This window comes from Homo sapiens, chromosome 14, assembly GCF_000001405.40.
Source record: "Homo sapiens chromosome 14, GRCh38.p14 Primary Assembly".
NCBI lineage: Eukaryota > Metazoa > Chordata > Mammalia > Primates > Hominidae > Homo > Homo sapiens.
In genome coordinates, this window is record NC_000014.9 from 22,773,166 (window position 1) to 22,786,688 (window position 13,523).

Consider the following 13,523-nt stretch of genomic DNA (forward strand, 5'->3'; position numbering starts at 1 on the left):
AGGCTAATGGGAGCTGTCCTAGAGATAGATACTATATAAAATGAAGCCACTCAGACTTTAGGAACATAAACTTTTATTGTCATCCAGCACCTGTGATAGTTTCATGTCTCTCTAAAGGAGACAGGAAATTGGAGCATTGTGGGCCCTTTTAAAAGAAAAGAGGAGTAGGTAGGCACACCCAGGTGCTTCTAAAACAACCAAGCCCAAACCTGACATGCTCCTCCCCACAGTCACCTTCATTGTCCCCTTTAAAAGTCTGGAACAGTATGTAGCAAAACAAATAAATTACTTTTCATTTCAAAAAGTAAGTTCAAAGGTTGAAGCTGCCTAGGCCAGGCTTCTGGACAGGTGCCTCCAAAGAAGTGAGCTTTCCTTTTCAACTTCCTTAGCTCTAGCCAGTAGACCAGAAACCCCTGCTTTCCACATCAGGATTCCAGATGGTGTTTAGTTAGATTTGGGATCCCGTTGCTTGGGCATCTCTCCTCCATCTTCCAAATCCATTTCTGCAGCAACTGACATACACAGGACCTGGAGGTACCTTGTGGCAGACCCTACAAAGAGAACTTTGAGTTGGAATTGAGAAGAGGTCAGCTGGGCTGAGTTCAAGTGTCACTGAATGGAACTCAGTGTGAGGGGAGTGATTCCACTAAGCCGAAGGGTTCATAAGAAGGGGCTAAGGCAAAGATGTCTTTGGAGGCTGGATTTACAGAAAAAGGCAAAAACCAAGCTCTGCAATAGCTGAGCGGACTTAAGGATGCACGGCTTACCCACGATCCTTCGGAGGTAAAGCGGTCGCTTATGTTCTGGCACTCTGATGATGAGGAAGTAAAAGGGCAGGCCTGAGAGGGCAATGGCAATGCCGATGAGGGAGTTGATAGTATCACTGTAAAGTGGAACAGCCACCAGGAAGATGGTGCAGAGGCAGAAGACAATCGGGAAGAAAACGCTGAGCTAAGGGCACAGGAAACATAACTGGAGTGGACAACTCAGGATTCTTAACAGCTAAAATAACCCCACCTCCCATAAGGATTAGCGCACTGAGCCTTCTTTCCATACCTTTAATTTCAACACATTACTAACGACCAAGTCCCAGGCAAAGGTTTCTAAATAAAGTGCTTTGTCATAGTCCCTTGTAGCAACAACTCCAGCTGTTTCAGGTGGAGCAGAGGTAGGATGGAGTTGCCTTACCTTGAGGGGACGAGGTCGATCAGGCTCCTTCCAGCGCAGATAAAGCTGACCCACAATAGAAAGCCCCACAAAGAACCAGTAGCTGAAGCTGTAGTAGTTAATGAGCTGGAAGATGTCTTCCACGCACAAGTAGATCAATGCCATGATACCCTGTAAGCGTGAGCCTAAGTCAGCTCTTCTCAGGGCCTTTGTTAATCCAAAGGCTTTTCACTCCCTTTATACCCCAGAAATCCATCCCCTGTCAATCCTCAAAGTCTCCTGGTCCTCTTCTGGTTTTAATCCCTTTAACACCCTAGTTTCAGTACCTTATCCCCTCTCTTATAAGTCAGTAGTCTCAACTGGCTTTTCAACCCATTCTTCAAGTTAACCCTGTATAAAGCAAGCTCGAAACAATCCCTCAAAAGTCTTGCATAGGACCCTTTCCATAATGGCTCCAACCTACAATAACCCGCTCTTATCTCCTCCTACATGTTGAGTATCCCTGTTCTGAAAATCCAAAATGCTCCAATGAGCATTTCCTTTGAGTGTCAAGTCAGCACTCAAAAAGTTTCAGATTTTTAGAGCATTTCAGATTTTGGATATTCAGATTAGGGATACTCAACCTGTATTAAAACCCATACTGCTTTATCACAGGATTTTCTGATGCTATTTCTCCTACCTAAAGCCCATCTCTACCATTTGCAACCCTAGCCATCAAGATGCACTTTTTTTTTCTGAGAACACTTTGGTGGATTTTAAGACACACACACACACTTCTAGATGTAATTCTTCACCCTCTACTCCCATGGAAGTGATCGTTTCTTCTCTTAAACACCGTATCACTCACTATCTGTCATGGCAATCAATCATTACAGTGTATTCCATGTACTTTTTGCCTTATCTTAGAGCAGAGGTGTACCATTCCTTAGAGCATTTGGATTTCCCCTGTAGCGGTTAGCATAGTGCCTTGCCCGTGGTGAACATTCTGATCCACCAATAGTTTTTCTATTGGAATCTTTCAGAGCTTTCAGGAAGCTAGAACAGTCGCTTCTGCTGTTACTAAAGTTTCCCCCGCAATCTGGCTTTCAGTCTCATCCTTGAGTTCACTTACATTGAAGAGCAGAGAAGGCACTGGTGTGAACCGCTCAACATGGATCATGCAGATGGCATCAGGGAGATGGCCTTCTCTTGAGCCCACAAAGAAAAGCCTATGTTAGGTAAGATAGGAGAAGCTGAGAAAATTGGTGGACACGGTGCAGCCTGGTTCACCTGCCACATGGCCCTCCCTCTCTGCCATCCCTTCCTTCAAAAGTATTTGGATAATATGGACTGGAGCTCAGTATTAAGATTAATGACAACTGCAGGCTTCTGCTAGAAACAAGAAGAAAGAGGTTGTGGTATCGGTTGGAGAACACAAGTAATCAAAGGCTGGGTCCTGTAAGTTCTGTCCACTGCATAGCCCTTTGATGATACACCCCTCACAAAAGTTGCCACTCTTACCTAGAAGCAGCCACAATGGAGGCATTGAGGCCACCAAAACAGGATAATGCAACTGACAGTGGAATTATCCAGTTAAATATTCCAAATATCTGATCTGCAAAAGTCTAAGGGAAAAGAATGGAAGAGTCATTAGCAGGATCTAAAAGGGATGAAAGACATGGATGGGCATGCCCCCAGATTCCCCTTATTAGGTATTCCAACCTTTCTTCCACAGTGGGGTTAACAGGACCTTCTTGCAAGCCCGGTATTCTAAATGAACTCCTTTCAAGGCTGTCTACCCCCTTTCCAGGACTTTCAAGAGCCAGAATATACCCAGTACCCCACAAGACACCCTCAACCTTCTGCTAGTGAAAATCCTTTACCACAGCAACAGCATCACTGGCCAAGATGTCTCTCATGTCTAGCACAGTATAATAGGCCACATTGGTCAAGATATAGATGATGGTGACAATGGGCATGGAGATGCCAATGGAGAGGGGCAGGTTCCTACAGCCAAATAGAATAAAATGCACATTAGTCCCACAGTCATATCCCTATCTCTCCTTTAATCCTTAGACTCTCCCTGCCACACCGGTCTTTCCAGGGATGGAGACTGTTGCTACATTTCCTCAATGCATTTGTCTTTGACGGTGCCCTGGATAGTGGCTGAAGCTCTGAACACTTAAGAACTAAAGAACATTAGGGGAAAGGAATATCATATTAGGAGACAGGACTGTGCAGCTGGGAGCAGTGGCTCATGCCTGTAGTACTAACACTTTGGGAGGCTGAGGCAGGGAGATGGCTCGAGTCTAGGAGTTGGAGACCAGCCTGGGCAACATGGCAAAACCCTGTCTCTACAAAAAACTAGCCAAGCAGCTGGGCGTGGTGGCTCACGCCTGTAATCCCAGCACTTTGGGAGGCCGAGCCGGGTGGATCACCTGAGGTCAGGAGTTCAAGACCAGCCTGGCCAACATGGCAAAACCCTGTTCCTACTAAAAATATAAATAATTAGCCAGGCATGGTGGCATGCACCTGTAGTCCCAGCTACTCAGGAGGCTGAGGTACGAGAATCACTTGAACTCGAGAGGCGGAGGTTGTGGTAAGCCAAAATTGTGCCACTGCACTCCAGCATGGGCGACAGAGCGAGACTCTGTCTCCAAAAACAAACCAAAAAAAAAAAAATTAGCCAAGCGTGGTGGTGCATGCCTGTAATCCCAGCTATTTGGGAGGCTGAGGTGGGAGGATCACTTGAGCCTGGGGAGGTCAAGGCTGCAGTGAACCATGACTGGGCCACTGCACTCCAGCCTGGGCAAGGCAGCCAGACCCTGTCTAAAAAAAAAAAAAAAAAAAAAAAAGCAGGGCGGGGGGGATTAACAAAGACTGTCCCCAGCATCATAACGCACAGGAAAATGGGAGGTTGTTTTGTTTTATACCCCAAAGATCTTTTGGTGTCAGGATTCCATCTCTAAGATTATCAACATTGGCAATTTTGCCTCAAGGTTGAGAAATATAAAAAGAAATTATGGAGGCAAATTGTGAAATTTAACATCTTCAGAGAATAAGATAGGCCTTCAGTAGGAAGAGAAGTGTATGTATCTGACTAGCAGCCTGGAAGATATGTCTGCCCACCCCTTCCTCAGTTTGAGAACCTCAGGAGCCATCCTAACTGGTGGGCAAAAGAAAGATGCAAAGAGCTCTCAAGGTCCCTGTAGCCCAATAAAGCCATGATCTTTATAAGCATCCTTAACAGTAAGGCTGCCAAAAAAAAAGCACAAAGTGGGGCAAATACTCTGCAAATAGAGTCATGCAGTTTCTGTCCGGTAGGTGGAAGTACCACCCAGGCCTTGATCCTGCTTCTGTTATCTCTGTTCCCATAGCGTTACCACTAGTTGTGTACCAAGAGTGCTCTTCTGTTTCTCAAGCCAAAAGGAGTTTATTGGTATAAGAATTGTGATTCTTTTCACTTAAGCATTTACAGAAAGCTGGGCACAGTGGCTCATGCCTGTAATCCCAGCACTTTGGGAGGCTAAGGCGGGCGGATCACCTGAGGTCAGGAGTTCGAGACCAGCCTGGCCAACATGGTGAAACCCATGTCTCTACTAAAAATACAAAAATTAGCCAGGCGTGGTGGCAGGCACCTGTAATTCTAGCTATTTGGGAGGCTGAAGCAGGAGAATCACTTGAACCTGGGAGGCAGAGGTTGCAATGAGCCAAGATCACGCCATTGCACTCCAGCCTGGGAAATACAGCAAGACTCTCTCCAAAAAACAAAAAACATTTTACCGAAACTCCACTCCCTGGCAAATCTTAGTTCCCAGAATCATAGAATTTTAGAGCCAGGAAAGGCCATGGAGATCACAGAATTTAACCCCCTCAATTACAGATAAGGAAACAGGCAAAGAGATGGCCGGGCAACTCCCTCAAGGTTAGCCAACAAGTCAGTGGAAAGATCAACTCTAGGTCCTTGACTTCCTGTCCAGTTCTCTTTTCACTCTATATATAGACTACAGAGCAATAATGGTAGGGTGACTTAATTGAATGACTGAAACTATACCACAATGTCAGTATGAATTTAGGAAACAAGGAAGGTATCAGAGGGAAACACAGGAAGGTTTCTGGAAGTCTATATCCCAAAGCTATGTATGTGGGGATAAGGGTGGATAAAATATCTATCAAGGAAAATCTGTTTTAAAAACATACATAAGCATATAATACAACCTGCTTTAATTAATGCAGAAATTAATGAACAAATGTAAAAATGCCTTTAAAAATTTACAAAGCATACATGAGTAAGTTCATATTTTAGCCCTGTTACTGTGATCATAGACAAGTTACTTCTCTGAGCCTCAGGCCTCCCATCTATTAAAATGAGGCTGGTAAAATTAACCTCATAGTGGTTGTGGTATGCTGTCTGGCACGTAGTAGGAGCTCATTAAATGATGGCTATCACTGCTATGGAAAGTTGGTGGTGCAGTACCTACCTCTCAGGATTCTTGATCTCTTCAGTGACATAGTTGAGGGTGTCCCAGCCTGAGTAGGAGAACAGAGCTGAGTACAGTGCCAGGGCAATGTCACCCACTGCAAATGATGAACCCTCAAAGGAATTCTCAAAATGAGTAGAGGCTCCTGGAACCCAAGAACATTGGAAGGCAGGGGATTAGTGGCTCATTCTCCCACTTCAAGATGGTCAAGTAAAGGACTGACAGAATATGGTAATATAATAGCAGGTAAGTGGCCTACAACACCTTTGGCAGCAAGAGTACCAGTAAGGGAACAGGAAACAGAAGAGAGACGTCTATAGAGATAGACCAGAATGCCCTGCATCCTAATGACATAGATGGGGATCTTGACAGGAAGGGTCCAGGGTAGCTTTCTAGGATAAGAAACCACCATAGAGCAGAAAAGCTGGAGAATAGAAACAATGCAGTTCTGTTCTGCTCTGCAGGCTGCCTGATTCCTGCCTCCTATCACAATCTGCCAAAGGCAGCTCCCAGGGCATGGCTGTCAACCCTTTGCCAAGATCAGCCTCCTCTGGGAGGCAGCGTGCATGGAAGTTAAAGGACAGACTTTTGGGTCAGTTGTCCTGGATACAAATTTCAACTCCTCTACTTACCGGTAGCAACTTGGGCAAGATATTTAATTCTTTTTTTTTTTTGGGGGGGGGACAGAGTCTCGCTCTGTCGCCCAGGCTGGAGTGCAGTGGCGTGATCTCAGCTCACTGCAACCACCGCCTCCTGGATTCAAGCGATTCTCCTGCCTCAGCCTCCCGAGTAGCTGGGATTACAGGCGCCTGCCACCATGCCCGGCTAATTTTTGTATTTTTAGTCGAGATGGGGTTTCACCATCTTGGCCAGGCTGATCTTGAACTCCTGACCTCATGGATCCACCCGCGATGGCCTCCCAAAGTGCTGGGATTACAAGCACGAGCCACTGCGCCCGGCCCAAGGTACTTAATTCTGCAGGCTGTTTCCTCATCCATAAAATGAGAATAATAATAGTGCCCACCGAATAAGGTTATAGTAAGAAATGAGATAATGCACAAAGAGCACTTAGAGGAGTGCGGCTCACAGAAAATGCTTAAAAAAGATTAGTTGCTACTAATATTATTTCTTACCCTGGCCAAGTCTAACAATGCCTGCAACGATGACCGCGATCAGTGCCAATACTTTAGCATAGGTGAAAATATCTTGTACCAGGGTTCCCCATTTGACATAGGCACAGTTAATGAAGGTTAAGAGACCTGAAAGAAAAATAATACTGATTGGTGACTTACCCTTACCACCCTAGGGCCTTAGACTCCCAAGCAATTTTTCCAGTACCAGTCACCAAGATATATATACCCTTCAGCCAAAGACAGACCCTCTGACCTGCTCTGCACTGGAACCCTCGGGGCCCCAGAATGTCCTCACCATTATCATACAAAGGCCTCTATACTCCCCACCCCCAGCACCTTATATGGGAGACACAAAACAAAGTGACTGCAGATCTGCTTACATAAAAAATACATCCAAATGTCCAATCACAGCAGTGGGAGGCAACTGGGAACTGTACAGGATTAGTGATTGTTCCGGCTCTTGGCTCTGAAAAGTCATGGTCTCTCCCTCCTACCTCCCATTCCCCATGGGCTCCAGGACACAGCACTCTGACTCTGTGGTATTACTGTTAACCTTGAGGAGTTCTGCTGTGACTTATCCAATGCTGAGCCAGCAGGTCAGGCTGTGTGGCCAAGGATTAGGATGAAGGCCAGACTTCCTGCCCACTGCCTGGCAGCTCAGCTGCCTGCTTTTGTGCTTGGAAAGATTCTTGCAGCTAAGAGTGGTTCCTGTAGAATGGGGACAGGGCATTTTTCCTGATGGGACAATAGAGAAGTAAGAGCCACACACATTCCCCCAGTCCTTCTACTCAGAAGTACAGGTTTTAAAAGTACCTTTTATCAGGGTTCTTAACTAGGGCCTCCATGAGGCTCGAAATTCTCTTTCAAAGTGTTATGTCCATATGAATACAGACATACCTAAGAAAAAGTTTCATATCTTTTCTTAGAAAGGGATCATAGCTTTTATCAGAATCTCAAGTCCATTATCCCTCCCCCAACAAAAAAGTTACAATCTACGACTTGAATTTGAATTACTTGAAGAAGTTCAACAAGGGAGGCTCACGCATGCTGTGAGGTTGACCAGTAGCCCCAGAATGTGGCCGAGAAGAAAGTTGGAAAAAAAAATACAGATCTTCCCACTGGTAGCATAGCGAATCGCTTCATTGCTCCCTCCTTCCCAGCTCAGCAACTGGAACACTATAAGGAGGGCTTAACTTTAAAGCCCTTCTCCCAAGGGCTCCAAGGGCAAGGTCAACATCACCCTGCCTTACCAGTCAAGAGAATGAGGCCTAGTACAGTTCTTGCCTACTTCAGGCCACCAACACAGTCAGAAACACCCTCTGAGTTCTCCTGGCAGTGGTGTGGCCTTGGTGTCGCTAGTCCTCCTATTTTGTGGTGTCCTGGCCTCACCACATTCTGGCTACTTCATCCTGAGAAGCAGGGAAGTCTGGCCTCTCAGAACAGCTGCCCCATCTTCTCTCTCTCACCCTCCCTTCCACCACCACCCTCATTCTACTGACTGCCCAAGTTCCTTTCTGCTCTTCCTGAGAAGGCACATTCCTGTCCTATATAAATGCTTGCCTTTCTGCCTAATAAACAACAAACCTTATCACAGGGCTGGGCAAAAATGTACCCACAGCTCCAGGCCACCCCAGTGCTAAGTTAATAATTTAAGACACAAGTGTGCAGCACCCCACAAAATGACCAAAGTGGCTGTATCTTGCCCTCCACAAATCTTTCAAATCTGTCACTCCTCCTCAGCCAGTCACCCATCCTTTACTCCCCACTGGACTCCAGCCTCCAGCCACTCAACAGCTTAGTGCCCCTTCTCCCCAGCTTGTAACCTCTGCCCTTATCCTAGGCTCTGCGGCTGGCTCATAACCACAACATAGCCAGGTTTCCAAGTAGAAACACCAGACACAAAGGATGCTGCCACATTGTCAGGAAAATGGGATCCCCAAATACAAATTTATGATTCCCTGCAGGGTAACCATGAGTCATAACACCAAACTGGAATAAGCTTACAGGACTAGCTCTAGTTCAGACTCAGAGTCTGAGCTGTGTGCCACAAGGTTCTTCTCAGTTCTGTCCAGGGATGTAGGCAGGGAAAAGGAGGGATAAGCAACCAATTCACCACCTGCTACCACAGCAGATTCTGAAATGGAAATACATGGCTTGTTTATATTTTATTTTATTTATTTTTCTTTTTCTTTTTGAGACAGAGTTTCACCCTTGTTGCCCAGGCTGGAGTGCAATGGCGTGGTCTCGGCTCATGGCAACATCTGCCTCCCGGGTTCAAGCCATTCTCCTGCCTCAACCTCCCAAGTAGCTGGGATTACAGGTGTGCGCCACTATGCCCAGCTAATTTTTATATTTTTAGTAGAGATGAGGTTTCACCATGTTGGCCAGGCTTGTCGCAAACTCCTGACCTGAGGTGATCCACCCACCTCAGCCTCCCAAAGTGCTGGGATTACAAGCATGAGCCACCGCGCCCGGCCTATATTTTATTATTTTTTTTTATTTACTTATTTATTGACTTATTTATTTATTTATTTATTTATTTTATTTATTTTTTGAGACACAGTCTTGCTCTGTCACCCAGGCTGAAGTGCAATGGCATGATCTTGGCTCACTGCAACCCCCACTTCCCAGGTTCAAGCAATTCTCCTGCCTCAGCCTCCCGAGTAGCTGGGACTACAGGTGTGTGCCACCATGCCTGGCTAATTTTTGTATTTTTAGTAGAGATGGGGTTTCACCATACTGGCCAGGCTAATCTCGAACTCCTGAGCTCAGGTGATCCGCCCACCTCGGCCTCCCAAAATGCTGAGATTACAGGCGTGAGCCACCACACCCGTCCCTTTTTGTTTTTTTTTTGGAGATGGGGATCTCACTCTTTCACCCAAGCCAGAGTACAGTGGAGAAATCATAGCTCACTGCAGCATCGAACTCCTGAGCTCAAGGGATCCTCCCAGCTCAGCCACCCTAGTAGCTGGGATCAAAGGTGTGCACCACCATGCCCAGCTAATTTGTTTTAATTTTTTTTTTTTTTGAGATGGAGTCTTGCTGTCACCCAGCCTGGAGTGCAGTGGTGCGATCTCAGCTCACTGCAACCTCTGCCTCCAGGGTTCAAGCAGTTCTCCTGCCTCAGCCTCTTGAGTAGCTAGGACTACAAGTGCCCACCACCACACCTGGCTAATTTTTGTATTTTTAGTAGAGACAGGGTTTCACCATGTTGGTCAGGCTGGTCTCGAACTCCTGACCTTGTGATCTGCCCTCCTCAGCCTCCCAAAGTGCTGGGATTACAGGTGTGAGCCACCGTGCCTGGCTGTTTTAATTTTTTTAGAGACGGGGTCTTGCTATGTGGCCCAGGCTGGTCTCGAACTCCTGGCCTCAGGCAATCCTTCCACCTCAGCTATCTGAGGAGTAACTGGGATTATAGGGAAGAGCCATGGCACCTGGGTGGCTTGTTTACATTTTAATCCCTATTGCTTCTCTACTTCTTTTTTTTTTTTTTTCGAGACAGTCTTGCTCCGTCCCCCAGGCTGGAGTACAGTGGTGCGATCTCAGCTCACTGCAACCTCCGCCTCCTGGGTTCAAGCGGTTCTCCTGCCTCAGCCTCCCGAGTAGCTAGAATTACAGACATTCAACACCATGCCCAGCTAATTTTTGTATTTTTAGTAGAGACAGGGTTTCGCCATGTTAGCCAGACTAGTCTCAAACTCCTGACCTCAGGTGATCCGCCTGCCTCAGCCTCCCAAAGTGCTGGGATTACAGGTGTGAGTCACCGGCGTGGCGTGCCCAGTCTCTTCTCTACTTCTCTATCCATCCATTTGTATCCCTCTCTTTGTCCACCAGTATCCCACCTCCCCCACTCCTGAGCCTGATTTCTCTGACCCACCTTCTAGCCCTGATCTGCTCTCTGTACTGAGCACAGAAGGCTCAGTTTGAATGAGGAAGGGAATCCTACAGAAAGAAACCAGGGAGCAGAGGGAACTGCCTGAAGAGAGCTAGCCCTCCTCTTCCTCAAAGCCTAGCTTCCTCCAGGGCCTCTTGACTGTGGGAGCAGGAAATGGGTATGGCAGGCAGCAGTGCTGACAGGGCTTTTTGTCCCCACCTCAGCGGATACAGCTGACCACTGGCCCCAGAGCCCAGCTAAGTGCACTGCTCTTGAAGTGGAGCCCAACCTCCTGCTTCAGGGCCAAGGACAGGAGGGGACCATGGGGTTAGGATAATATGGAGGCAACTGCAAGTTAACCTCAAGGGCAGAGATGCCCTCCCCTTCTACCTCTAGGGGCAATTCAATCCCCACCCAACACTGGGCCAAGTCTATAAGAGGATAACCTGAAATCACCTTTGACCCTTGACTCGGTGCAGCAGCACTCCTGCTTTGACCCCAGGGGGAGAAAAAAAGAATCTGCAAAGAAGTCACTCGTGGCCGGGTGCAGTGGCTCACGCCTGTAATCCCAGCACTTTGGGAGGCCGAGGTGGACAGATCACGAGGTCAAGAGATCGAGACCATCCTGGCCAACATGGTGAAACCCTGTCTCTACTAAAAATACAAAAATTAGCTGGGCATGGTGGTGTGTGCCTGTAGTCCCATCTACTTGGGAGGCTGAGGCAGGAGAATCACTTGAACCCAGGAGGCGGAGGATGCAGTGAGCCAAGATCACACCACTGCACTCCAGCCTGGTGACAGAGCAAGACTCCATCTCAAAAAAAAAAAAGAGAAGTCACTCCTATAACCATCTAAAAAGATGTTCCTGAATGGATCATCAAACCCAGCCTACATACGGTCCCCGGGAGTAGGAGACTAGTTCTAGTGGTAAGGCCCAGCATCAGCGCTAGAACTAAAAGCCAGAAAGCACCAGACCAGGTGGATCCAGAACAGAACAAAGCTTGCAGGCCCACTCTGGATCAGATGCTCAGGTTTAGTTTAGACACCTAAATGAAACATTTCCTGAAAAAGAACATTAAACCCACAATTCTGTAAGCACTATTACCTTTAAATACACACAATGTAACACACAAAACTTATGATTACAGGCGTGAACCACCATGCCCGGCGTCATTCCATTTTAAAAGTGATCTATAGAGCCAGGCGCGGTGGTTCGCGCCTGTAATCCCAGCACCTTGAGAGACTGAGGCGGGCAGATCACTTGAGGCCAGGAGTTTGAGACCAGTCTGGCCACCATGGCGAAACCCCGTCTCTACTAAAAATATAAATATTAGCTGAGTGTGGTGGCGCATGCCTGTAATCCCAGCTACTTGGAGGCAGAGGTAGGAGAATCATTTGAACCCGGGAGGCAGAAATTGCAGTGAGCCAAGATCACGCCACTGCACTCCAGCCTGGGTGACACAGTGAGACTCCATCTCAAAAAATAAAATAAAATAAAGTGATCTATAGCTCTTCCTTTTACTAAGCCAACAGCGTCTTCCTCCCAGCTTCTACCAGTAGTGCCAGACCCCTCCTCTGTCTCCACACAGAATGAAGCTAAATCCTCTTCCACCCAATGGCCCTTCTTAACATTAAAGATGAATATCACGGCCAGGCGCTGGCTCACGCCTGTAATCCCAGCACTTTGGGAGGCCAAGGCGGGCAGATCATCTGAGGTTGGGAGTTCGAGACCAGCCTGACCAACATGGAGAAACTCCGTCTCTACTAAAAATACAAAAATTGGCCAGGCGTGGTGGCACATGCCTGTAATCCCAGCTAGTCGGGAAGCTGAGGCAGAAGAATCACTTGAACTCGGGAGGTGGAGGTTGCGGTGAACTGAGATCTCGCCATTGCACCAGCCTAGGCAACAAAAGCAAAACTCCATCTCAAAAAAAAAAAAAAAAGCCAGGCGCGGTGGCTCACGCTGTAATCCCAGCACTTTGGGAAGCTGAGGCAGGCGGATCATGAGGTCAGGAGATCAAGACCATCCTGGCTAACACGGTGAAACCCCATCTCTACTAAAAATACAAAAAATTAGCCGGGTGTGGTGGCAGGCGCCTATAGTCCCAGACACTCAGGAGGCTGAGGCAGGAGAATGACGTGAACCCGGGAGGCGGAGCTTGCAGTGAACCGAGATTGCGCCACTGCACTCCAGCCTGGGCCACAGAGCGAGACTCTGTCTCAAAAAAAAAAAAAAAAAAGCCAGGTGCAGTGGCTCACGCCTGTAATCTCAGCACTTTGAAAGGCCAAGGCGGGTGGATCACGAGGTCAGGAAATTGAGACCAGCCTGCCCAACATGGTGAAAACCTGTCTCTACTAAAATACAAAAATTAGCCAGGCATGGTGGCACAAGCCTGTAGTCCCAGCTACTCGGGAGGCTGAGGCAGGGGAATTGCTTGAACCCGGGAGGCAGAGGTTGCAGTGGGCCGAGATCACGGCACTGCACTCCAGCCTGGCCACAGAGCAAGACTCCATCTAAAAACAAACAAAAAGGATGAACATCCTGTCCCCTTGAGTCTTTACTCCTTCAGGCTAAAACCCAGATTTTACAACCCCTTGTGGAGCAAATGTGGCTTCCAGACCCCTCACCATCCCAGGACTGTCATTTATTTCACTTTGTCATTTACTGCATATACTTCACTGTGTCAGTATTTCCCCAGAAATGCAAGACCCCACACAGAAAACTCCAGACCGTGTTGCCGACTACGGAGTCTCAACCTGAAATCATTGTTTACTACAACTCCTTTCTTTCCCACCTCAAAGTGATGAGATCTTTCCTCCCCTCTTTCTGGACCTATAAAAATGATTTTTTTAGCTGGGTGCGATGGCTCATGCCTATAATCCCAGCAT

The 13,523-nt window shown here is 47.3% G+C and overlaps 1 protein-coding gene across 5 annotated transcripts in view, besides 1 other annotated feature; it reads right to left on the reverse strand.

Moving 5' to 3' along the window:
• Positions 57 to 13,523, reverse strand: part of SLC7A7 (solute carrier family 7 member 7) — a 46,570-nt gene continuing 33,103 nt past the window's right edge. For 4 of the 5 annotated variants that reach the window (XM_011537299.2, NM_001126106.4, NM_001126105.3 and 1 more), the window contains 8 exons: positions 6,761 to 6,886; positions 5,628 to 5,772; positions 3,030 to 3,153; positions 2,668 to 2,771; positions 2,279 to 2,375; positions 1,189 to 1,338; positions 768 to 951; positions 57 to 551 (listed from right to left, as the gene is read on the reverse strand). In XM_011537299.2, the coding sequence (XP_011535601.1) occupies positions 445 to 551; positions 768 to 951; positions 1,189 to 1,338; positions 2,279 to 2,375; positions 2,668 to 2,771; positions 3,030 to 3,153; positions 5,628 to 5,772; positions 6,761 to 6,886 (1,037 nt within the window). In that variant the 3' untranslated portion in view covers positions 57 to 444. Of the gene's footprint in view, positions 552 to 767; positions 952 to 1,188; positions 1,339 to 2,278; positions 2,376 to 2,667; positions 2,772 to 3,029; positions 3,154 to 5,627; positions 5,773 to 6,760; positions 6,887 to 7,140; positions 7,312 to 13,523 lie in introns of those variants that run through there. The other variant, XM_047431879.1, reaches the window with a different exon arrangement.
• Positions 10,272 to 10,442: a silencer, noted in NCBI's record as "fragment chr14:23252646-23252816 (GRCh37/hg19 assembly coordinates)". NCBI's record gives its function as "represses an EF-1alpha promoter that drives an FKBP-Casp9 reporter gene in an ReSE screen in phorbol 12-myristate 13-acetate-treated (for megakaryocytic differentiation) K562 erythroleukemia cells {active_cell/tissue: K562(+PMA)}" and the evidence as "EXISTENCE:reporter gene assay evidence [ECO:0000049][PMID:32094911]".